Consider the following 27,068-nt stretch of genomic DNA (forward strand, 5'->3'; position numbering starts at 1 on the left):
TTAATACTGTAGCTTTGTAATATGTTTTGAAATCAGGAAGTATGATGTCTCCAGCTGCATTATTTTTTTCAGGAACCTTTTTTCTACCTGGGTTTCTTTGTCATTTCCTGTAAATTTTAGGATTTTTTTTCTGGTTTTGTAAAAAATGCCACTGGGCTTTTGACAGTGATTGCATTGAATCTATAGATCATTTTGGATAGTAGGTCCACTTTAATATTAATTTTTCAAATCCATGAATCCAAGAACATGGGATATCTTTCCATTTATTTGTATCTTCTTAAATTTATTTCATCAACATTTTAAAATTTTTAGTGTATTAGACTTTCACCTCCTTAAGTTCATTGCTAAGTATTTTAGTCTTTGTGATAATATTAATATTATAAATGAGATTATTTTCTTAATTTCCTTTTCAGAAAATTTATTATTGGTTTATAGAAATACAAATGATTTTTTTTTTCTTTTTGAGATGGAGTCTCGCTCTGTCACCAGGCTGGAGTGCAATGGCGCAATCTCGGCTCACTGCAACCTCTGCCTCCTGGTTTCAAGCGATTCTCATGCCTCAGCCTCCTGAATAGCTGGGATTGCAGTCACGTGCCAGAAGACCCAGCTAATTTTTGTATTTTTAGTAGAGACAGGGTTTTACCATGTTGTCCAGGATGGACTCGATCTCCTGACCTCGTGATCCGCCCACCTCGGCTTCCCAAAGTGCTGGGATTACAGGTGTGAGCCACCACACCTGGCCTTACAACTGATTTTTTAATGTTGAGTTTGTATCCTGCAACTTTACTGATTTCATTTATTAGTTTAACAAATTTTTTTGTCTCTGTGGAGTGTTTAGGGTTTTCTACATGTAAAAGCCTGTCATCTGCAAAGAGAGAGAATTTCTTCTTTTCTAATTTGGATGATTTTCATTTATTTATTTTTATTATTATATTTTTGCTTATTGTTCTGACTTGGACTTTCAGTACTATGTTGAGTAAAAGTGGTAAGAGTGGACATCCTTGCTTTGTTCTGAATCTTAGAGAAAAAGCTTTCAGTTTTTTTACCATTGAGTATAATGTCAATTTTAAACCTTTCATATGTACCCTTTCTAGGTTGAGGTAATTTCCTTCTATCTCTAGTTTGTCGAGAGGATGTTTTTTAAATCATAAAAGGGTGTTGAATTTTACCAAATACTTGTTCTGTATATATGAGATGATCATGTGATTTTTATCTTTTGTTCCATTAATGTGGTGTATCACATTAATTGATGGGTGTATGTTGCACCTAAGGATAAATCCACTTTGTCATATTATATGACCATTGAGTGCTGTTGAATTCAGTTTACTAGTATTTTATTCAGTATTTTTTGTGTCTATGTTCATCAGGAATATTGGCTTATGGTTTTCTTGTAGCATTTTTATCTGGTTTTGGTATCAGGTGAATGATGGCCTCAAAAAATCGGCTTAGAAGTGTCTATTCTCTTCAATTCTTTGAAAGTAATTAAAAAGTACTGGTGTTAATTCTTCCTTAAATGTTTGGTAGAATTCACCAGTGAAGCTATGTGGTCCTGCACTTTTTTGGTTTTTTTGAAGATTTTGATTATGGATTTATTCCCCCAAGTAGTTATAGGTCTATTCAGAATTTCTACTTTTTCATAATTCAGTTTTTGTAAGTTGTACATTTCTAAAAATGCATTCATTTCTTTTACTTTATCTGTACCACCTCATCTTGCATCTCAAAACATTTTCCTGTAATAATGTTTCTTCTTTCAGAATTGCTTAAGAAATTTTTGTAGCAATTTTCTGGTGATAAATTCTCTCAGTTTTTAGATCTGTGTAAATATATCTCTCATCGTTATTATTGAAGTGAATCTTTATGATTATAAAATTCCTTGTTGATAGTTATTTTAAACAGCAAAGACCAATCACCTTAATAGTTTAACAATTCTTCTGAGTGGTCAATTGATTTTACACATGGATTTTACCTGCACTTGGTGCTTGAACCTCCAAGCAAGGACATCAGTTGACTCAGAGTCGGGTGATGAGAGTCCAATCAGCACAATGCTATCTAGAGTCACGATTAAAATCTGCTTTCACCTGATGATTATTCTATTGAAAAATGGAAATAGAATGAACAGATATTTGATTGCTATTAATACTTCTTGTGAGGTCACCCTCATTCTCGTAAAATACAAGCAGGCAACTACTTATCTCAGCTGAATAAATCTCTGAAATTGTGTTGTTTTGGACCCTGAAATAGCCTTAAAATAAGTTTTACTTTGGCAATAAATCTACAAAACGCATACTCAATAAGCCCTGGGCTTTTTCCAAAGAAACATCCATGATCATTGTCTCCTGAAAACTCTTGCTTTGCCCACTTTCATGATATCTCACTTTTCTGATTTTCTTCCTTTCTCACTGGTCACTCCTTCCCAGACATATTGGGTAGATCCCATTATCTAACCTCTGGAGTTGGAATGTTCCATGGATCAGACCAAGGCTGACTCCTCTTCTCCATGTTTACTGTCTTACTTGGTGATATCATCCAAGTCCATAATTTTAAGTATCTTCTAAATGCAAATGACTCTAAAATTTATATTTCAGCTCTTACATTTCCCACTGAGTTCCATGTGTCTATTAATGTCAACATCAGCATCTTAATGTTGGGTGCATCTGAAATTCAATATGGTCAAGGAAAAACAATGAATTCCACCATTCCCTGGGCCCCAGGCTTCATCTTCTCTGTTACTCTGTGTCTTAGTTAACTCCACCCTCATGTACCAAATTTCTCAGGCCAAAGGAGAAAGGTCTTATCCTCTCCTTTCCTTATATCCATATCCAATCTATTAGCAAATCTGTCACTTCTATTTCTCAAACATATTCTGGTTCTGTAAACTCATTGTCTCTCTATTAAATTGCTATCTCTTAGTTTACTCAAGTTCTTCACTTCACAACTGGGCAATTTTCCTGGCCTCCTAACAGTTCTTGTTTTAAGTTTTAATTGAGTTTGTTTTAGGTAGGATTCTGTAAAAGACTCATTTGTCCCATTTGCTACTGTATTATTGACATTTAGAAGAGTGCTTTGTACATATTAGATGCTAAATAGATATTAGTTGAATGAATGAATAATAAATGTGGGGTTTCATACCAAAAGAGCGCTTTTCATAGTTTTACAAATTCTCAATTAATTCACCCATAAATTTATAAATTCTTTGTCAGAACATGTGTCCTGAAGTTTTATACCACTGAAAACATGAGCAGAAACTGTTCAGGATAATAGCAGCTCATTATTTTGTTGCTATCAAAGATACTCCATCTGGGAATCTTCACTCATGGGGTTCTGATCCACGACTCAAAGGAAATCTTACTAGCCTTCTGCCAAAAAATTAGTATTCCAAGAAGTCTAAAAAGAATTATCCTTTTGAAGATATTCTTCAGAACGTATGCCCTTTATTAATCCATGTGTTTAGAGCATATTATTAAAATTCCACAGTTAATAGAATCTCCTACTTTCTTAAGTCATTCCAACAATTCCCAAATATTCTCCTCACTGTATGGCCATTTTATTATTGTCTGTTAATAATCCCAAACCCAAATAACCTCATCTAACCCCACTTGGAAAACATCACCTTCCTATTGAGGTGATAAAAATCTGAGTACCAGAAATGGGTAAAATGGAAGATGAAGAAAAGAAGCTAGTTGTAATATCAGAGAGGCCCAGGCTCCAGGTTTGCCTCTGTTGCTTTATGGGGCATGAATTTGAGGAAGTAACCTACTCTCTGCAAATCTCATTTTTCCTACCTGAGAAAGGCTGCCAATATGCCTCTCTTGCAAGGTGCTTGTAAAGTGTGGGCATAATCTACCTGGCCTGGCACATATGGGAAAAGTGCAGGCCACATGCCTGGAGCTAGTTTTTTGTTTTTATTTTCACAGAGTTTCACTCTTGTTGCCCAGGCCGGAGTGCGATAGCACAGCCTTAGCTCACTGCAACCTCCACCTCCTGGATTCAAACGATTCTCCTGCCTCACCCTCCAGAGTAGCTGGGATTACAGGTATGTGCCACCATGCCTGGCTAGTTTTTTTGTATTTTTAGTAGAGATGGGGTTTCACCATGTTGGCTAGGCTGGTCTTGAACTCCTGACCTCAGGTGATCTGCCTGCCTTGGCCTCCCAAAGTTCTGGGATTACAGGCAAGAACCACTGTGCCCGGCCACTGGTAAGCTCTTGAAAACTCTTCTGGGTCATCCCTCCAAGGGCTCTCTTTTGGCCACTGTCAATCAGCTGTTACTGACTACTGTAACTAACACCAGTGGCAGGGCCTGCCTCTTCCCAAGATCCACACAACTTGGGGAAAGTAAGAAATGAGGAGTCCTGAGACAGTTGTCATAAGTCTCATTCATTAAATTAAATGTAGCTACTCAATCTGACTTACACAGTCATGTGGGAGATGATCAATAAACATTGCAGAATGAATTAACAAATGAAAATGGAGATTGTTCTTCATCAGTTACTTCCTAGATAAGTAGAGCCGCATGTTTCATTGTTTTGTTGTACTTGACAGTTCAGAAAACTTTTGCCTTAGCAGATGGTACAAAAATGAGTGCTGCCATGTTGAGGGACTCAGAAGCAAGGAGGGTGGGAGGGTGGGGGGAATTGTAAGTCAAGGGAGAGCAGAGATTTGATTCTGAAGAGCAAATGCTTACTGGGTCAAGGCCGTTTTTGCATAATTCTATTATCACCAAGAAGAAGAGAAATAATCATATTAGGTGTGTGCTATACTGCTCAATGTGGCTTGTCTTACCTTACTTTTTGAAGTCATACAGGTTTAAGTGCTTTGTGTAAGTGAGTTGTTCAGAGGCACCTGATCAATAAGGCATGTGCTGTCAGGGTAAAGCAGGGAAGTTTTTGATGTTGACAATGACATACATTCTTGTGCAGAAAGGAGTAATCCATTTGGTCACAGTAATAAAAAAGTTGTATGTATTGCTTTGGAGAACAGAGGCAGTGTCATCAGGGAAGGCTACTTCCAGGCAAGCTGGCCAGAGGACATCAGCATGCTGGTGGGTCAGCCCAGGACCAAGAGGAGCCCTTTATTGCACCTCCCTGTCCTCTGTATGGAAAAATGGGCATTTGCACAAGCAACTGCCTAGTGTTACTGAGATCACTGGCTCCCCTTCATCTTCTGATTACAGAGCCCAGGCATCTCATTAATTAGCATCGAGTTTCTGCCCAGCATGGCCTCTTCCTGAAGCCCAGTGCAGTTCACAGCAAGACCTGTGTCCATCCAGGCTCTGCCGGTTCCAGGTGGGGCTTGTGCAAAGCCTCCCCTACAGTGGACCAGAGGTGGCCAGGGAAACATTGGAGCTTCCGTCTTTCCAGCCCACAGCTCTTGTTCTCTTTCTTCAGATGAGGTATCTCATCTGTCAGTGGCCACCTGAAAACGGATCAGAGACAGTCTAAAGAAGAGAACATCAAATAAGGAAGGTGTCAAACATTTTAAAGGTGTAAACACTCTCCATTGTTGAACAGTATTGGCTTCGTAACAAAATGTCCTCCTTTCTAATTCCTCTATTCTACCTCAGCCTCTATGAATGATGCCAGGCTTGGCACAAGATGCTAAAACTCTTGTTATAAAGAGGAAAAAAGCTATCTCACCTCAAGTAGCTCCCAGCTCATAGTGGAGAAGCAGTCTGCAAAAACAAGCACAATGCAAAGAGGAGGTAGCAATGCATAGTGCTTAAAAGTATGGGCTGTAGAAACAGGGACTTCTTTCCTCCAAATTCCACCTTTCCATCTATTCACTGGGTGTCTTTACCTACTTAGCCCTTCGGTACCTCCAGTTTTGTTACTTCATACATCTGTAATGAGGACAAAATAGGATCATACATGTGATCCTTAGCATGATTTGGGCATTTAGTCAGTTCTTAATAAATGTTAATACTTTAAATAATAATTACCATGGCGAAATCTCTGTACTGTGTTCTTCAGATGCACAAAGAAGGGAGAAGCCAATTCTAAATAAGATGGTAAAGAAAGCCTTCATGTAAGTGAATTCTGAAGGATGCTAATGGTTATGATTTTTATTGTTACAATTGTATTTTAAAGCAGTTACTGTGTCCTGGTCTCTGTGTTAAGTACTTACAGGTGGTGTCTTCTGCGTTCACAAAACAACCACAAAAATTAACTAAATTGCCCTTACTCCCATTTTATGGATGAACATAAGTGAGTATAGTCTGATTAAAAACAAATAATCTGTGAATGCACAGAGAAAATAATGAAATATTATTCAGCCTTAAAAAGAAGGAAATCCTACCATTTGCAACCACAAAAATGAACCTGGAGGTGATTATGCTAAGTGAAATAAGCGAGGCAAAGTATATGATCTCACTTAAATGTGAAATCTAAAAAAGTCATGGAAGCAAAGAGTAGGAGGGTGGTTATTAGGTGGTAGGAGATGGGGGAAGTCAGGGCATGTTGGTCAAATGGTCTAAACTTTAAGTTGTAAGATGAACAAGTTCAAGGAATCTAACGTACAGCATGGTGGTGATGGACATGTTAATTAATTCGAGTGTAATAATTACTACACAATGGATACATATATAGAAGAATCACATTGTATGCCTCGTTTATAAGCAATCTTTATTTGTCAATTAAATATTTTAAAAAACTAGTAATAAAGTTCAGAAGATAGAACTAAGAGCTTCCAAATGCGCCCTTACAGAGAGAACACAGACTTGCCATATATGTACAAAGCGAAAGCAAACTTTATTGTCAATTGTCACCTCTCTGGCCCCTGTGGGAAGGAAGGAGAGTCCCCTGGTGCTGATGCGGAATTTGCTTTCACCCCTGCAGGCAGGGCCCAACACATACCGATCCCAGAGGTTCAGAGTTTCAGCCAAGAGGGAACTGGGAGTCCATCTCTCCAGATGAGAAGAAAGAAGAACAGCACAGGCCAGAGTGTAGTCCTGTTATGTGTCTATGCGTGTTCAGAGAAGACCAGCATACTTATTTCAAGGGGCCAACAGAAGTCTCATCATGGCTCTTGATAAGAGCAGCCAGGGCATTTGCAGGCCACTCACATTTAAGCAGATAATCCACAAGTCCTCCCAAACCACAGGGCATTTGCAATGAAGCTACTGAACTATTACAACATTGCATTCTCTTGCTTAAATCGTAAGACTTACAGGCTTCAACTAGTTTAGGTGAGAGTTTGGTGAGCAAAGGGAAAGGTCCTTATTAAAAGCTAAACAGCTTAGAGCATCCAGATAACTCAAGAGATTTTTCTGGGGATCATTCATGTGGGTATTCTTCACACAGGAAGAATATGAAAGGGCACACCCAAAGCAGTCTTAGGAGGGTGAGAACAGGCACAGAGTTGTGGAAAACCATGGTGTGTATTCAGCGCTCATCAAGTTCTTCAGTATGATTAAGGCTTAGAGTGTTGGGGGAGGGTAGAAAAAGTTAAGGCCAAATTATGCCTAGGCCAGTATGGAGGACTTTGTACTTTATGCTAGTGAGCTCTGGCTTTGTTTTGTATGTTTTCAAACTATATTCTAGTTGTTTAATTACTCTTGAATTCCCATTAGCACTTATAGCAGCCAGAGTAAAAATATGTAGCATAGGCAGCTACTGTAGCTTTCCATGCCCATGGCAGACATTACTAATTGATCATAGCACTCTACTCCCTGAGCCTGGAGGCAATTTAAGAAATTCTTCATTGGAGTCCTCTAGACAGCTATTAACAATTGATCAGAGTTTTCATGACTTAACACCTATCTTCCATCCCTGGCTCACGAGGAAGCCAAGTATGTATGCGACAGATAAAGGCAGAGTCTTTCTGGCTGAGGCCCTGGTATGGTCAAGGAGGTGGAGTCAGTGGTGCACTAGAGCTGACTTCACATTTCTTCCAAAATCTCATGATGCTGGTAGCTTGAAATTGGTCATCGTGGGAGTGTCTGTATTATAGAAACTAGCCAAATCTACAAATAAGGATTTTGTGGGAGGTTTTTCTTTTCACTTTTGGGGAGCTGGTTGTTAAACATTTGCCAGCACAATACTAAGCTAGGGGCTGGGGGCAGAAAAAGGATGTCTACGCTTCAAAGCCCAAATTGCCTTCTTTCCCCAGCCTTCCCTGCAAACACTTGAGCGAACCTCTCCTTTAAGGTGACAACCATGTTAGGAAGTGACCAGCCACAAAAACTTTTGAGTGTGCTTTTGTTTAAGACCAGATTTGTACTTTAGAAAGGCAATCCTGGCTTTAATGTATTGGATAGACTGAAAGGGTGTAAAATCACAGATAATATCAGAGGCAAGAAAGCTAGAAGATAATCTAATTGTCCTTGTCCAAATAAAGGGTAATGAGTCTTGAACTAATGCAGGAGCAGAAGGAATAAAGTAGAGAGGACAAATATAATAGATGTTAGTGAAACAGAGATGATAGGACTTATTGGTTGATTGAGTGTCAAAGTGAAAAAAAAAAACATTCAAGTTTCAAGTGATCTTGCTATTCACTATGACAGGGTACACAGGAGTAGCATATTTTGGTGGAAAATTGGTGGCTTAGGTTTAAAGCAAGTTGAGATGCCTGAGCAGTAGGTAGAGGAGGCTGAGGCTCTTAACCAAACTTCATTTTCAAAGTCAGAAGATGGTGGGAAATTGACAGCAGGTGATTAGAGGGAATCACTGGGGGAGAATATGAAGTGAAAAGACGTCCAAAGAAGAAACATGGAAACATGATGTTTAGAGGGCACACAAAGAAATGAGTCAGCAAAGGACAGAAGGATTGGCCAGTGGAGGAGGAGGAGAACTGGAAGACAAGCAAAGGGAGTTAGAGGATTGGATGGCCATGGATACAAAATGCCGGGTCAGGGTCAAGGAAGATGCAGTTCAACGAAGAGTAGGATTGGTGTAGCTGCAAGAAGATCGCGGGGGCCTTTTGCCAGAGCAGTTTCTGTGGAGTGCAGGGAGAGAAGGAGCCAAACTGCAGTTTGTTTGAAGAAGGAAAACTGGGAGGTGGACAGATGGAAAACAAGTCAAGAAGCAAGAATTTGTAGGCTTGGATGGTAAGAAAAGAAAAGGAGGTGTAGGATCAGGGGAGGACTTTAAGATGGACAACATGCTTGATCATAATTTTATGATATGAAGAAGGAGCCAATCCAGATGGACTTGCCCATTTGGGAAGGAGAAAGGGAATCCCAGGTGCAACAGGGTCCTTGGGGTCATAGGAGCATTGTCAGTCAAGGGTACAGGCGGAGGGAATGGCCTTAAACAAGATAAATAACAGCTCTTCCTACAAGACCTGAAGGAGGGCGTGAAAATAAATGCAAATATGAACAGCTTTTCAATGGCTGGAGATTGAGGGTGTTTAAGCTTGATAATCTCAGTTGTCTCTTGAAGTATGAAAAAGTTTAAGTAGAGGGGTAGAAGTTTGAAATAAACACTGTAGGGAATAGAACAGGGCATAACACTCTGCTTTAAACCTACGTTACATTTTAATGGTATAATGCCTATACATGATTTTATTGTACTGTTGTGTTTTGTCTATTTTGTATCTCCCTTAGTAGCTGTACTGTCACAGTCATAATAGCATGGCTCACACGGCATTACTAGTGCTTATTTGATCACCTGCTTTCCGTATAGCAGTAACCCTAGATAGGGAAGGAACAGTGTGTCTAGCCTAGCAAAGCACCTGAAATATAATGAATGATAAACAAGTGTTTGTTGAATGGATGAATGATTAAGAAGTAGATGTCTAAATTAGTCCAGTCTTTCCAGCTAAACTGTTAACTCCAGGGTGGGGATTGTGTCTTAAACTTGGTTGGATTGCTCAGCATGTTTGGTACAAAGGAACTACACAATAATGACACATTAAAATGAATCAAAGGTCGGGTGCAGTGGCTGACACCTGTAATCTCTGCATTTTGGGAGGCCAAGGAGGCAGGAGGATAGTTTGAGCTCAGGAGTTTGAGGCCAGCCTGAGCAACATGGCAAGACCCCACCTCTATAATTTTTTTTCTTTAATTAGCCAGAAGTGGTGGTGCACATCTGTGGTCCCAGCTACTTGGGAGGCTGAAGTGGAAGGATGGCTTGAGCCTGGAAGTTTGAGGCAGCAGTGAGCCGTGATTGCACCATTGCACTCCAGCCTGGGCAATGGAGTGAGACCCTATCTCTAAATAAATAAATAAATAAATAAATAAAATTGAGCTACATAAGGACCAAAGTGTGAATGTGAGAAATCAAGAAGTGCCTTCCAAGGGAGGAGCTTGAGATGAGATGAAATGATGGGGAATGAAATTCAAAACTAGCTAAACCTTTAGAAGAAAATACAATCTTCTTCTTCCCAACAACTTTCTGTCATTATTGTGTAAGTTTTAGGTAAAGGATCCTTTGAAAATTCCAGTGCTTGGCATTTTCCATTTCTAAATGGAATGGTCCAATCATTACCAGAATCTCTCATCCAGCCTATTCTCTGGTTTCTTGGACCTTAATCCCCATGGTCTAGAGACCATGCTTTGTGGTTTTTCTAGTTCTAAAATCACACTCCCAACTGCCAGCCCTCTGTAACAATGAGAGAGAGAAACCCTTCAGGCAGTCAACAAGAAGCAGCTTCTCTCTGCTTTGCTCTGAAATGTCCCATAGCAAATGACAGTGGCAGGGAAATGTCTTAATAGAGCGTGTTGTTTAGCATAATTGATGTTCAGATGCAGCGTTGGTAGATACAAGCCCAGTTAATTGGTCTCTCAACCTACATTAGCTGTTGCATTGCAGCCAATTAGGCAGGGGCCAGAGGGCCCTCTGCTCAGTCATTAGAGCCCTGCACACTGAGGCGGGGAAGGGCAGCAGTTAGGGAGCAGAGCTGGCGTGAAGGGCTTTGATGAGATGTGTGTGCAGCTGCACCACGGCCGGAGCCATCTGTCCATTTAGGAGTGCAAGACCCTCAACGACCAATCTTAAAGGTGACAAAAGGAAGGTGACATTCAGGAGAGGGAAATCTGGGTGCTCCCCAAGGGGTGAAGTGCTAGAGGAAAGTTTGAAGATCATAGATTTGAAGAACATTGTCCTACAGCAATATTTCTGATGAACAAAGAGCCCGTGTCTATTCTCTGAGCCTTGATGTTATGCGGAATGCCCTGGATATAAAAGGGAAGAACCAGGCCGGGGGTGGTGGCTCACGCCTGTAATCCCAGCACTTTGGGAAGCTGAGGCGGGTGGATCACCTGAGGTCAGGAGTTCAAGACCAGCCTGGCCAACATGGCGAAACCCCGTCTCTAATAAAAATACAAAAAAAAAAAAAAATAGCCAGGCGTGGTGGTAGGCACCTGTAATCCCAGCTACTTGGGAGGCTGAGGCAGGAGAATTGCTTGAACTTGGGAGGCAGAGGTTGCAGTGAGTTGAGATCGTGCCATTGCACTCCAGTCTGGGTGACAGAGTGAGATCTGTGGACCAGTGGCACCACCATCATCTAGCAATGTCCTAGGTAGGCAGGCCTCAGGCTCACTCCTGACCTGATGAATAGGAGTCTACAGTTTAACAAGCTCTCCAGGTGTTTCATATGCTCATTAAAGTCTGAGAAGCAGTGCTCTAGGCCAAGGATCAGCAAACAACTTTCATTGGCACACAACCATATCCATTCTTTACCCATTCCTCATGGCCGTTTCCACACTTCCATAGCGGAGCAGATAATTTGCAACAAAGACCTAACAGCCCACAAGCCTAAAATAGTTACTCTCTGGCCCTGCTTTACAGAGAGAGTTTGCCAGCCCCTACTCTAGGCTGCACTGACCAGGATGGCAGAAATCTCTGTAAGGAACCCATGTGACAGACATTTCTGTTCATCCTCAGAAGACAGGCGAACCCCAGATATTTAATTTATTGTTTAAATATAGTCATAGGGGCTGGGCGTGGTGGCTCATGCTTCTAATCCTAGCACTTTGTGGGGCCGAGGTGGGTGGATCATTTAAAGTCAGGAGTTTAAGACCAGCCTGGTCAACACAGTGAAATCCCGTCTCTACTAAAAATACAAAAATTAGCCAGAAATCACTTAAACCTGGGAGACGGAGGTTGCAGTGAGCCGAGATTGTGCCACTGCACTCCAGCCTGGGCAACAGAGAGAGACTCTGTCTCAAAAAATAAATAATTCATAGCTGTGTTGTGTCAGACCCCTATTAACCTCAATAGGGAAGGCACCAGGTTTGAGAGGCTCAAGAAGAGACTCAGAGACATGGGATTTTATTTGGGGTTTATATACAGGAGAAAGAGTCCAGTGGTAGCAGACTGGACGAGAGATCCACCTCCTACAGTCCGGGGACAGCAGGCTGGCCAGGAAAACCATGGCCACCTGCAAACATCATGCAGTTTCTATGGCATTTTTACTTCACATCCTCCACCCAAAGGCCTCTAGCTGGCCATCTTTATTTAACCCAAAACTGGGGACCTCAATCCCCTGCATGGCCTGTGTTCCACAGGACAGGCTCGGGGCTCGGATGTTTATCATAAATAAGGAACAAATCTCTGGATTGGCCACACCCACATTCCCTAGCTCAGAACACACATTCAGGTGCATCTGCCCTACAAGGTCATTCTAAGAGTCTGCTTAAATCATTGCTAGCAAGTGCATTTACCCTATGGGATCCTATGGACAGGTAAAGGAATATATGTTAGGTAATGAATAACCTCAATTTCTAGGGGTTTAGAAGTTCATAAAGACTTCAGCAAAAGTTGGCAAAAACTTTGAAACTTCCTGCTACCATGAATGAGTCAAATGGTTTTCAGAATTCTTTCCTCCACATAAAGAGTAAAGGAAAAATGATAAACTGAAACTAGTAATAAAACAATCACCAATTTTCTATATTGTATCCTTGAATGCATGTTTATTGTGATGAGCAGTATTTGCGTTTTTCCCAAATTTATCAAGAGGTGGCTTTGACTTTATTGCTAGAGTTTGGGGATAATTTTACTCCCAACGAAGTAGAGACCACTTTCTTCTCTCTTGTTTTTCAGCATGTGAAATGTTACAGAGACATGGACTCTTTGAATGTTTGAAGTAGGTGTGGTGGCACACACCTGTAGTCCTAGCTACTCTGGAGGCTGAGGCATGAGGATCCCTTGAACTCAAACTCTAGGCTGTAGTGTGCAAGGATTGTTCCTGTGAATAGTCACTGCACTCCAGTCTGGGCAACATGCAAGACCCCATCTTTAAAAAAAAATTGGCTTGGCTATTCTGCTTTATATGTAGCAAAAGAATTGTTGGAAATATGCCTTCCTTAGTGTATCTGCCCATAAAGAGAGCTAGACTCCACAATAACCAATGGTTAGGAAGAGGCCTACTAAACCAACATTTCTAAAATGGCTGAAATATTTTCATAGGAGATTCTGGCTTCGAGCTTCTAGAAGACATGCACTTATAAGAATATTAAAGAGACACCTCACTGTTTTTAAAACCCTTGGAGTTTTTCCAAGCTCTAGCTACCCAAGTCTGTCTCTGTCCCTCAGTCTGACACGCATGCCCGCATACATACACACACACACACACACACACACACCCCGCCAACAAAAGCCAGGCTGCAGCCTCAGACTCCAGACGCATGCATCAATCATAATTGCAGCACCGCCGGCAGTCATGTAACTGCTTAAAGACCTCAACAGCCTTCTGGCACTTAAAGGAAAAAAAATCATCTAATTAATCACAGGTGAAACAGATTGGACTGTCTCCAAAAGCCCCTGAATTTACTGCCAAGCTTTGATGCTAATTTTCTTTCTAAGTAACCCCCTAAAGAAATTTACAATTAGGTAATTAAAGTAATGAATAAAGAGATACTTAGGTGGAGGGAAATGAGAAGAGGGAAAAAGTCTATATTTCCATCCTGCAATAAACACCTCTGGGTATGCATCATTTGTGAACCCCAACTTAAAGGTCCCCAAGTGGCTTTCTCCTGAAGAATATTTTAAAAATCAATATTTGAAAGACCAAAATGAGGCACATAAATGAAGTTAGGAACAGGTCATTCGCTAGGGCCTGTTAGACAGGGAGGGAAAGCAGTCTTCTGCTGGCTACTTAACTCTTGACTTAAAAAAAATAATGTCATGGCTTATATCCTTTGGGAAGGTTGGTAGTGGTTTCTCCCTGTGAGCTGATTGGATAACATCACTGGGTTTGATTTAGAGATTTCATCTTCCACCTATTCCCCATGTCCCTGCTGGGATGGACTCCAGATTTCTGGTTTTAATTGGTTTAAAAGCAATTGCTCCAGTCTTTTGTCCTTAAAATTGGAAATGTTCAGGGGAGGGCTTTGGGTTTTATTATTCCAGCCCTGATCCTTCCCTCGATCTCTGACACTTAATATTGGAACACTCCAGGAATGGGGAACTTTAGTTAATTGGTTACTTTAGATTACAGAATTAAACAGAAATGCTCATGTTTAAATAATTCATCAAACAAGTTTCTGCTAAACTCCTAAACACCTAGAGCTTCAACTCCTCCTGAAAAATCTTGGTAGCAACTATTTTTCTGACTTAATAAATACAGTGTAATAAGCATAATGCTTTTTTAAATAATTCAGAATCTTGAATTTTTTATTGAAAACCTCTTTGCTCTGATTTATGTGTACCCTTCGGGATCGTTTACAAGCTTCTGCAAGGAGAGATCAAAGCGGGTCCCCATGTTGTCTCTTTCCCACATCTAGCAGAGCATGAGTGCTCATTATTTATTACTGCTCGATGGTCTCGATGGTATTCCAGTTTATGCAAAGAGGGTGTAAGAGTTTTTACTAAATAAACACTGACTTAAAGTGTCATAGCCTGAAAATTTAGGTTTTTTTTTTTTCACTAAGTTACCATATGAACTTACATATTTAGTTTTGTACCCCTCCTGAAAAGAGAAGGGTGAAAATTGTAGATTTAGAATTTTGACTCGGAAGTGAGGTTGGCGATTTTATAGTCTGAAACTTCATTTCTGAGCTAAGGACATGGAGGCTTAGAGAGGTAAGATGATTTGGCAAAGACACACAGCCACCTAAGGGGTTGTGAAGATCATACACTCTGAAGCCATATGAATCTGCATATTGTAAAGCACTTCTGCTACTTACCAGCTGTGGACCTCGAGAAACTACATGCTTTATTCTGAGTTTCTTTTTCTGATCTGTACAATGAAAACAATAAGTATTCTGAAGATGAAATGAGCTAATATAAGAAAGATGCTTAGCATCATGCCTGGGACGTGATAAACAGTAAAAACCATTTAGCTCTTATTAGTTTTATTTATTCATTATTTATTTATTTGAAAGGATCTTGTATTAAATTATAATTTTATATTTATTTAAGAAATTTATTTTCATCATTCACAATCCCTTACATCATTTACAGTGATGTAATTGAATTGTTTTCATCATTCACAATCCATGGAAAGTAAGGTCTTAGTCAAAAGTGGTGCTTTGGCTGCTCACAGCCAGATGGGCATAGAAATTCAGGTTTGTGGGAGCTGGACCGGAGCTCAAGTGCTCTGCGTAAGAAAAAACTACACATTTTCAGCCGGGCATGGTGGCTCATGCCTGTAATCCCAGCACTTTGGGAGGCCGAGGCAAGTGGATTACTTGAGGCCAGGAGTTCACACCCAGTCTGGCCAATATGTTGAAACCCCGTCTCTACTAAAAATACAAAAATTAGCCGGGCGTGGTGGTGCACGCCTGTAGTCCCAGCTACTCAGCAGGCTGAGGTAGGAGAATTGCTTAAACCCACGAGGCGAAGGTTGCAGTGAGCTGAGATGGCGCCACTGCACTCCAGCCTGGGTGACAGAGTGAGTAAGACTGCCTCAAAAAGAAAAAAAAAGCCAAAAAAAAAGGAAACATGTTAGAGGTCTCTAATTCAGTGCTTTTTCTTCTTCCCAACCAATGTAGAACAATATGAGATTTGAAACTTATTCCTAATGGAGAATTGAAAGATCCTGTCCCCAAATTTCAGAACAGGGATGAGCCCCCATAGAGAGGTGGAAGGTAGGGGCAGGGGTCATTTGAGGATGTGGTTGCCTCCCAACTCCTCCCGAATCAGCCAAATTAGAAGGCCACCATCCACGCTGCCTAATATCTCTGCTCTGCTTCCCAGTCCTAAGAGCCTCAGGCTCTCCTCTGAGCCTTTATCTGAAAGGCTAGAGAAGTTGGAGAATCCTGCCAAGTAGGAATTAAAAATGACAAAACAGCTGATTAGATCTGAGGTGACAAGAATGAGAAATAAAAGCCATTAGAGCCCATTTGCAACGTGCCCTCAGCGAGTCAAGTTTCAAGGTGTTCCTCTGAAGATTATTAATGGCGTGACAGTGTTTTCCAATGTTTTCCATGCAGAAATCTGATACGTGAAATAACACTGGTGTACACACGCTGCATTCTGGATGGTAAGAGGGGCCTGCCCTCATTTATTTAGTTTCACGGATTTGAAGAGACACCCTAATTCAACTGTCAGAGTGAGGGTCAGTGTGAGCACCCAGCACTTGAAGGAACAGGTTTCCATGGTAAATAGTTTTCCTGTAAAGCAGGGGTCCGTCACCATGGCCCAGAGGCTAACCTGGCCAATTGCCTAATTTTTGTACAGACAACTTGCAAAGAGTGTTTTTGTATTTTAAAATGGTTGGTACAAAAATCAAAACAAAACTATGTGATGACCCTTGGAAATGTTGTGAAATGTATGCCAGTATTTATAAATAAAGTTTTATTGGAATATAGTGTCCCTCATGTGTTTATATATTGTCTACAGCTGCTTTTGCACCACAACAGCAGTGTCGAGTGGCTGCGACAGAGATGGTGGGCCTGGAAAGCTTTAATTATTTGCTATCTGGATCTTTACAGAAAAAGTTTGCCAACCCACCTTGTGTAGGATAGGTTGGCCATATTATTAACATTGCTTTTGCAAAAAGAAAAGTCGGCACAGCTTAGAAAAATACCAGAAGGGTTTCCTATAGCAGGCTATAGCCTCAGCTTACAATCACAGCACAGAAATCAATGTATCCACCACTGTCCAAGGACAAGCCACCTAATCCCAAAAGCAGCAAGTTCTAGATTTTGTAAGAAGTCACTGGACTTTAGGTTCTCCAGGCCCCTGGTGGTCATTCAGTTCTAAGAGAAGCCAACAGCTCCAAATGGCACTGTAAACATCTTATTCTTTCAGAAGTCGTCTCAGGCTAGTAATCAGGAATCCTGTGTAGTTGGTTACCTTAAAAGTTACTTGCATCGGTAAGGGATAGGTGAGAGCTCAGAGAAGATGTCAATCCTAATTATTTTCATCTCTACCCCTGCCTCAACGTGCATCCCAATTTCATTTCTATGCCTAGACTTTTTTGCAAGATTTAATAAAAATGGAATTTTACTCCTTTCTACATTATTCCCCGCCTCCCCACAAAAAATAGCTGTGGCCCTCAACTAGTACTACCAATTGTGTCCAAGATGCTTGTTATCCTAGAGTGACTTATTGATTACAAAGTCACTTTCTGATGTTTATTATTATTATTTATAAATAGGAGCAATATGGTAATCTTGAGTTGAAGAAAATTGTTGCTGCTGTTTGGACGACACCAGGGATGAGGATTGACAGGGAAGAACCACACTCACCCTAGATGCCTCAGATGCCAGTCTCCATGAAGCCACTCATGAAAACTCTCCCTCCTCGACATGCTCAGAGGGGCTTTAGGGGCCAGTGACCAGTGGCTTCTTATCCAGCAGGACAGATGCAGCCACATGTTCACAAACAATACAGAGTAGAAGGTAGTCCACGTCCAAGAGGAAGGACTCACAACAAATGGAGAGGCCTTACAGGGAAAGGGCACAGCACATGGCAACTTAACAAAAGAAGGAGAGTTGGAATTGAGTGGAGGAGATGGGTGGATTGTACCAGTCGGGGGGAAATTAATAAAGATTTTGAGACGAGAAAACTCTTAAACTCTGAGCCATTTAACATCTTCATTACAGTGATGACTTCGTCCAGTAGGGCTGCTGTAACAAAATACTTTAGACTGGGTAATTTATAAACAACAGAAGTGTATTTCTGACAGTCCAAGAGTCTGGGAAGTCCAACATCAAGTTTCTGGCAGATTCAGTGTCTGGTGAAGACCCATTTGTCACAGTCAATGCTTTCCCACAACATCCTCATTGGGTAGAAGAAGCAAATTTGCCCCCTCAAGCTCTTGTAGAAGGCACCAATCCCATCTATCAAGCTGGACCCCTCAGAGCTAATCAACTCCTAAAGGCCCCACCTTTTAATACTATCACATTTGTGCTTAGGTTCAACATAGAAATTTGGAGGGACACATTTCATTCATTGCTATTCAAATCATAGCAAGTCAGCTGGTCACAAGGCCAGTCTCTTGACTTTTTAATTGAATGTTCTTTCAGAAAAGAGTAGACAAAGAACCTTTAACCAGTGTCTCAATTGCCAGAGGTAGGAAGTTTTGTAGTACATCGTTTTTTAAACATAAAATGCTACTTGGGTAGTCCTATCTTTGGTGAGGTGTAGGGAGAAAAAGTGATTCAAAATCCCAGCAGATTTTGAATTCTGCTTTTTTACAACATGAGATAAAGTTTGAGCACTCTCACCCCTTGACTAATGGGACCACAACAGCTTCAGTCTGGGGAGCTCCCCTGCAGGATAAATAATCTATATATTGAACTGTGGAATGCAGGTCAAGGGCTACCAAAAAGAATTCGGAACCAAGTGCAGGAGCAAATCATAGAAATGACGTTTCTTCTCCTTCAGTCTTTAATCGTTCTTTTCCATAGGTCTTTGTGGTATTTTTTTCCTCTTTCATTCTTATCCATGAATAGTAAGGGTTTTTTCAATCAAATCTGGAAGAAAAACCTTATTTTGGATTGTGATCTCACAAAGGTATAGATGAGAAGGGAAGTATGGGGTTAATTTAAATGATTTCAAAGGGTCTTTTTTGTTTTCTCTAAATGTTTCTCTTTTAAGAATGCATCCCTGAGTTATAAGCAGGTAGTCTTATCAAACTGGATAGGAATTGTGAGACACTCAAGTTAATGCTCTTGCAAAAAAGTAGGTCATAGGGAAACCTGATAGAAATTGTGTCTGAAAGTGGGAACTGTGACATAATACCCAATTCACAAATAATATCACAATCACTTCAGAGCATCATAAGAAAACAGATGTCCTATGAACAAGAGGCTCCATTTCAGCACTGCTCCCTGTGGCCTCCCTCTGGGGGTTGCCAATAATAGTTAAATTATCGAAGGTTGAAATTTTATGTGAACCAAGTCCCTTCCCAGGTGTCTGTACAGCTTTGCCTATGCCATCAAGTTCCTGTCCTTTGAGAAATGCAGAGGACTGTTATTGTCAGTGGGTTATGCCCAGTGCTTCAGGGTAAATTTCTTAATAATTGAGACCCCTGCCAGGCCTCCCACCTGGTCATCCAGCTAATGGAAGGGCAGCCTCGCCAGAGACTTGGCAGTGAACACCTTGTTCTGCTCACTGCCTTCCAAATAGCTGGTATAAATCTTCCAAGAGGCATGAGACCACCTGCAGCCCAGAAAATACCAACAGGGAAATGAAGGTGAAAACAATTGCTCTATTTAGGCAGAAATGTATATTTCTATATATAGAAGCCAAGATATTCCTCTCCCATCATGCAGCCATGAATGCGTATGTGTTGTGTAGGGGAACTATTCTTTAGGGGGAAAACCCAGTAATTGGCAGTATGCTATTATTATAATTAAAAGCCTCGTTAACTGGAACAAAGTTTATTCCTGCAGAAACTCAGAAGAGGGCAAGGTGGCTGCAAGTTCCACCTAGAAGTGTCAGCAGGCCTGAACTCGCCTTCCTCCTGTCCTCTCCTCTGACAGTCACAGGAAGCCTGAAACCCTTTTGACACTCACCTCGGAGATGACAGATCCTCCCTGAAGACTCGACAGCCGCAAACAAATGCATTGTTCTCCTTGTCAACCCACTATTGAAAGGTGATCCACAGCGAGCTGCAATTGGCCTCATTTGTTAGTGTTAGCAAGTGCTAGGCTGAAAGCTCATTACCCTGAGAAAAGCAAAAGCCAAGAATAAGTTCCTGAAATCAGGCTACAGAATCAGAGACCTGTCAGCGAGGCCTGAGCGAAGGAAGGAACCACCTCCACTGGGTGAAGGAGCCCGTCTTGTCCCTGCCTCTGTTGGCCCCATCCCCACCTCAAACATCTCCAGAAAATGGAATCACAGGGTATTGTGTATCGGGAATATGAATTTCAGTTTTCTTGTCCAGTTTTCTTTTCATCATTACACGTGGCCTCCCTATGGAGTGAGAGAGCCCACGGACTAGGACTCTTAGGAGCACTTTGAACTTGTGCCCCTCTGTGGCAGAAGTGATTGCTCCATCATCTGTGTCCCCATAAATCTCAAGCCCTTACCCATTTCAGCATTGCACATAGAACCGCATTGTGCAATGTGTATGGCTGCTGAGAACTTTATGAGTCAGGCTATCTTTCTGAAACTGTGAACTCCTTAAAGAAATGGTTTTTGTGCCAGGCGCAGTGGCTCATGTCTGTAATCCCAGCACTTTGGGAGGCTGAAGCAGGTGGATCACTTGAGGTCAGGAGTTCAAGACCAGCCTGGCCAACATGATGAAACCCCCATCTCTACTAAAAATACAAAACTTAGCTGGGCATGGTGGTGCACGCCTGTAATCCCAAGTACTCGGGAGGCTAAGGCACGAGAATTGCTTGAACCCAGGAGGTAGAGACTGCAGTGACCTGAGATTGTGCCAGTGCACTCCAGCCTGGGCAACAGAGCAAGACTCTGTCTCAATAAAATAAAATAAAATAAAATAAAATAAAATAAAATAAAATAAAAAAGTCAGGGGTTTTGAAGACAGAGATGGGAGCATGGGATTTGGCCTGGGTTCAAAAGCTGGCTCTACTATATCCTCAAGGTCAACTGTCAAATCTTTCCAAGGTTCAATTTTCTACCCACACAATAAGGAAAGGAGTAGAGGGTGTTATGGGCTGAATTGTGTCCTGCACCTAAAATTCATATGTTGAAGTCCTCACCTGCAGTGTCTCCGAATGCAACTTTATTTGGATATAGGGTCTTTAGAAACATCATTAAGGTTAAATGAGGTCATCAGGGTGGGCCTTATTCTGATATGACTGATGTCCTTACAAGAAGAGGGAATTAGGAACCAGACAAGCACAGAGGGAGGACTATGTGAAGATAAGGGGAGGGCCATCTGCAAGCCAAGGAGAGGGGCCTCAGAAGAAACCTCCCCTTTCAAGACCTTGGTCTTTAATTTGTAGCCTCCAGAATGGTAAGAAAATGAGTTTCTGTTGTTTAACCCACCCACACTGCAGAACTTTGTTATGACATCTCTAGTCAGTGAATACAGGAAGGTGTGAGCTAGGACCCCTTCAGCCCTAACAATCCAGGCTTTTTGTTTATAACTTTGAGGATCACACACCCCTTTGAGAAGGTGCTGGAGGCTAGGGACCCTCTTGGAAAATGTGCATACACATACAAGTTTGCAAACCATTCAAAACCTCAGTGATCTAACTATGGTTCTTAATGCCCTAAGGCCCCTGGAAACTTGATTGATGATTGAGAAGGAGAAAGGGAATAAAATTCCAGGTGATAATGAGATGTTTCTGAAGAGGTAGGCCCTTCATGGCCTGGTCAGGTGAAAGAATTAAAATCTGGGGGAATAAATAATGCAACTCTCACTTCAACTCTTATTCCCTGAAAGGTACTTGAGTCCTTTATTCTAGGGGAGAAAAAATTTGATTCTCAGATTCCTCAGATTTTTTTTATTATTATTATCATCTTTGGAGACATCAGAAAGAAGAGCCCCTCGGGGCATTTTTCTTACTTTATCAGCTTTGCTTAAAAACACAAATAAACGAGCCAAACTTGATATGCTATGATATTCAGGGACATAAGGGACATTTTTCTTTTCTGCCCACATCTAAAGAATGAAAGCATTTGGCCATCTCACTTTATTTGGAGGAAAATGGTATGTGATGGGCAAGGAAATGACGTGACTTAGATTATATTTCTAAAAATGTTTAGCCTTTTCAAAGTCACAGCACTTTCAGAGAGAATTAAACACTCAGACTTTCACTAGAAAACTCTAAGTAAGACTTAACATGTTTCCTCTTATTTTTCCCACCCTGGTCACCCACTAATGATCTAAAACTTAACATCACCACCTGTACTGGACATTTCTGTAGTATTCTCCTTTTTCCATCTCCCCCTTCCCCATTTCTTATTATGTAAAATTAGCAGGTTGAAAATATCTCTATGGCCCCTTTCAACTAAAACAAAATTCTATGATTTTATGATTCTCTGAATCCCAGTGCCACGGTAGCTCTAATTTCAGGCTTGTCTTTAATTCTTTGCTTTGCTTCATGGAGCAGGAGAATAGCTTATGTTGCAAAATGCATCCCAGAGAGTAGCGCCCCAGAGACCAAGAACAGGCCGAATGCAGGCATAGCTAACACAGCACTGCAGCCTGACAGGCTGGAGGAGGAGGGAGGGAGTCTTGTATGTTGATTGTGAAAAGCTTTGCTTGGCAATTTGGCTGTGCTGGTAATTATGGGAGGGAGGGTGACAGGGAGTTAAGTGATGGTGAAGATTTCTGTTAAGAGAGCTCTTCCGGGAGTTTCTCCCTAATTTACCTCTATTGAAGAATTGGGAGAGCTGGCGGAGCCTAGGATAAACCTTGCAGGGAGCAATTCAGCTTCCTTACCTGCCTAATTTTAGGAGATAACCATGATGTCTGAGCACATTGCTTTTTTTTTCTTTTTCTTTCTTTCTTTGTTTTCTTTTTCTTTCTTTCTTTCTTTCTTCCTTCCTTCCATCCTTCCCTCCCTCCCTTCTTTCTTTTCTTTTCTTTCTTTCTTTTCTTTCCTTTTATGTATTTATTTATTTTCTTTCTTTTTTTCTTTTTACAATACTGGAAGAGAGCTTTCCATGAAATGCAAGGTCACTGACTCACCCTTAACCCTTCTTGTAACATGTCTTCTTAGGCAATCCTATCGGACAGAACCCAGGATAAGTCATGCATAATTTAAAGAAATTTCATAGGAATTAAAAGAGATAACATGAGTGAATGTGATTTAAAGGTTGTCATATGTGAATCCACAAGGCAGGGGGTAGCAGAAGAAGCATTGGCTCTGTAGACAGAACTGGCTAAGATCTGGCTTTGCGTTTAGCACCTAGTAAGACCTTGCAACCAATCCTCTTTATGTCTTACTTTGCCTAACTTTAAAGCAGTGTAAAAGTTGTTATTGTAATAACAATTACAGGGTGACTCAGGGGTGGTATTAGTAATAGGAGTAGTAGTAATAATAATGATTCCCCTTCAAAAGGAAAATGAACCACACTCTCCAGAAACTTCAGCTTTATCCTTGGCGCTGATGGATTTTCTCCCTGAAGGCCTCTCTCCATGGAGTTAGCTGGGTCAAGAGTGTTCTGGTCACAATAGCTGCAAACGACATCTTCTAATTTCCAATACCGAACCCTGTTGCCACCTTTAAAATCGTTCATATGAAGAATCACCCACCCTGAGCCAACACGGAGTGATTTACCTTTTTTTATGGCTCCAGAGGGCATCTAAGAGGTGATGAAAGAAACTGGACAAACTTCTCTGAGACTGCCACAAAAATAATCTCAACTCTTGAAGAAGTACAAATACTATATTTACAACTGTTATGGACATATAAATCCATGTTATAAAGACACAGTAGATATCTCTGGGTGATGGGAGTTGTGGATGATTTTTGGCATCTTCTCTATATTTTTCCTTATTTTTCACTTCAATGAGCATACATTTTTCTTTGGAAGGGACTGGCAATGATGTAAGGGCTAAGTATTTATCTTCCCTATTTAAGAAAATTAAGAAGACCCAAGAAGAAGCATGCACACACACACACGCGCGCGTGGGAATGCACGCATGCACACAAATTGAGACACATACATCTGATTGAGGAAACTGGTTCCTTATGCCTAATTTCTTAACTTTCCTTCATGAGACAAAGGAAAACTGGAGCCTCAACTTTCCAGGCGGCTAATGGCCTTTTTAAAAATTCTGTGCTCTTCCAGTGACGTTATTTATTCTTTGGGTTAAGAAAAGAGAGACAAATAGAAAAAGAAAAAGTCCATAACAATGCCCACGCCTGCTTCAAGGGGCAACTGGACCCTCACTGTTAACAGAGGAGGTGCCTGCGCGTCCAATTCTCCCTGAAAGCCAGCCCTGTTTTCTGTGCCTCATGGCAGACACATGAGTGATTTATTGCTCCTAACATCTCTTAGTTTGTAATAAAGTTTTCAGCAGCTCTTTTTAGCTGCTGCAACCTCTGCCCCTGCAAACACTCTCTCTTTCTCTTTTTCTCTCTCTCTTTCACACACACACACATTCTGACTTCACTTTGTTCTTTTTCCACATAATGTCAACTCATAAAGCTTTCATCAAGTCAACCAGGTGGAAAAATCCCTTTTGCTGAAAGAAGCCTTCATTCCGGTCTAGGTGGTGGAGGAGAGTCACTGGGCAGGAGAGGGGATCAGCAGACAAGGTGGGGAAGAGAAGAAAGTGTGCTGCTGATGGGAAAAGTTTTATGTGTGATGAGGTGAGTGCGAGCTTCACAGGGGCGTGCCTCTTGATGAAAGGGCTTCTCTCCTCTGCTTTCCCTGGTTGCCAACATCCACAGAAGCTGACAAATCTGTCATTGCAGGAATGGGGGATGGAATTCATAATATACGTATTCAAAGAAGTAGAGCTTTGGATCTAATACCTAATGATGATAAGATGGCATAAGTAAAGTCAGGAATTCTTCCCTTGCAGCACAGACCAGCCTCTTGTGAGGAGGTTGGCTTCCCCTTCCTTCCTCCCAGGATCCTCGCACCCCCTGGTTTCCATCTTCAGCCCTGCTACATCCTGCCAAGGTCACCCCTACCACAAGCCCCATCCTGTTCCTTAGAGCCTTCTCAGCCCACTCATTTCACATTGGCTCCTAAGTACCCTAGAGCCATGTTGGAAGGAAAAGTGTTACTAGAAGAATAATATACTTGGAGAAGGAAAGACTCAGAGAGATCAAGACTACAAGGAAAGGTAGAGTAAGATGTGTGAGGTCCTTTGTTTTCTCAAGGGCCAGTGTCAATACATAGGAGTTTAAGATTTGGGGAAAGGTTGAGTATTGCCAGAGCCCAGATCTCCCAGTTTTCCTTGCAAGAGGTTAATTTGACAGATACTCCCTGAATTCCTGCAATCCTCATGAAAGCTCCATGGTACTTTATACATGGAGGGCTTCCAGTGCTCCTGTGAAGCACTGAACATTAACTTCAGCCTTCCAGAGACTGGATGGAGAAGACTCTAGTCTCTGAGCTCTGATTTTTCCCTCCCTTACTCATGGTACTTAGTAAGGGCAGAGAATACCCACTGCTATGTAGCAAATTAACTTTTTCCCCAAGTCAGATCGTAAACAGAAAGCAAGATGCAGTGACGTGAATGCATGCAAATACCAAGAGACACAGCTTACATTAATGTGCTTGGAAATTCTGTTCTCTCTTCCCTCTACTCGAGTCCAGTACCGCAGCGAGATTTCCAAACGCTGATGTATGTAGCCAAACAGCATTCTACTTTTGTTGGAATTTTCTCCTTTTCTTTGATTTCAGTAGTTTCATTATAATGTGTGGGGGTTTTTTTTAGGCGGGGGGAGGGCGTTTTTATTTATTCTACCTGGGGTTCATTGAGCTTCCTGATCTGTAAATTTATGTCTTTCGTCAAATTTGGCGAAGTTTTTTTTGTTGTTGTTTTTGAGAGAGACTCTCTCTCTGTCATTTAGGTTGGAGTGTACTGGCACCATCTCGTCTCACTGCAGCCTCTGCCTCCCAGGCTCAAACGATTCTTCTGCCTCAGCCTACCATTACAGGCATGAGCCACCACACCTGGCTAATTTTTTGTATTTTTAGTAGAGACGGGGTTTCACAGTGTTGGCCAGGCTGGTCTCAAACTCCTCACCTCAGGTGATCCACTCGCCTTAGAATCCCAAAATGCTGGGATTACAATGTGAGCCACTGTGCCCGAGCAAATTTGGCAAATTTTTAAATCATTCTTTCAATTTTATTTTCCTGCTCCATTCTCTCTCTCCTCTCCTTCTGATACTTCATTTTTGTTAGATCTTTTGATATTAGTTTTTTTCTTCATTTCAAGTTTTAATGAAAGCCTATATATAAGATTACTTCATTCCTGCATCTTCCCAGTTGTTTCTGCCTTGTATTTGCCCATTTCCTTTCCTGCTTGGTGAGATTTGGCTTTCTGTTCAAGAATCTTTTTCCGGTCTTTGGCCACTTTTAGCTTAGTGATGAAATGTTGCTGGGGCGAATGACTACGTGTACAGTTGAGCCATCAGCCTTTTCACACTGCACCCTTTCAATGTCAACTACATATTTCTTCCTGTAAACCTGGACTATTTTGCCCATTTGCTGACCTTTATAGTGTCCTGGTACAACCTGAACTTCGCCATCCTTTCAGATGGGCATGGATCAAATGTTGCACTTCTGTCTCCTGTCTCAGCTCTTTGGAAAGAGGGGAAGACATAATCTTCCTGTGAATGTGAGAAGGTGCATTGAAATGCCTTTGGTGGTTCTTGCTTTGGTCAGAAGTCACAAAGGGATTGAACGTCGTTTTGGCTGCTCCCACTTTGGTGATGGCCACAAAAGGGAAGACAGCCACATGCTGTGTCGTTATGTGCTTTTATGAAAGATCTTGGTTTGGGGAATTTTTTAACTTTGTTCTTCAGATTGTATATTTCCTACTGCTCAGTCTTCAAATTTACTGACACTTCTGTCATCTCCAATTCGTTCTTCAGCCTCTCCAGTGATTTTTTAAAATAAACGTTTTTATTTGGGAATAATTTTACACTAACAGAAAAGTTAGAAAAATAGTAGAGGCTTCCCCTGTGTGCTATCACCTTCCACCCAATTTCTCTCATTGTTAATATCTTTCATTACCATGGTACATTTGTCAAAACTAAGAAACTGACACTGATATGTTACTATTAACCAAACTCTAGACTCTGTTTGCATTTTAACATCTTTTCCATTGGTGTTCTCTTTCTGTTCCACA

The 27,068-nt window shown here is 41.2% G+C and overlaps 1 long non-coding RNA gene and 1 pseudogene across 2 annotated transcripts; both read right to left on the reverse strand.

Annotated features, from left to right (window-relative positions):
* Window positions 1–1,906: 1,906 nt before the first annotated feature.
* On the reverse strand, window positions 1,907–20,216 carry LOC105379376 (uncharacterized). 2 transcript variants are annotated; one of them, XR_949674.2, is made up of 4 exons: window positions 20,144–20,216; window positions 19,846–19,997; window positions 4,782–5,414; window positions 1,907–2,090 (listed from the first exon to the last, which is right to left on the reverse strand). It is a non-coding gene; the product is annotated as an uncharacterized LOC105379376 (long non-coding RNA). The 2 variants fall into 2 exon arrangements; XR_949673.2 differs by lacking the exon at window positions 20,144–20,216 and having other exon boundaries at window positions 19,846–20,137.
* RPL26P25 (ribosomal protein L26 pseudogene 25) lies at window positions 26,141–26,668 on the reverse strand (annotated as a pseudogene).

This window comes from Homo sapiens, chromosome 8, assembly GCF_000001405.40.
Source record: "Homo sapiens chromosome 8, GRCh38.p14 Primary Assembly".
In the NCBI taxonomy this organism is placed as follows: Eukaryota; Metazoa; Chordata; class Mammalia; order Primates; family Hominidae; genus Homo; species Homo sapiens.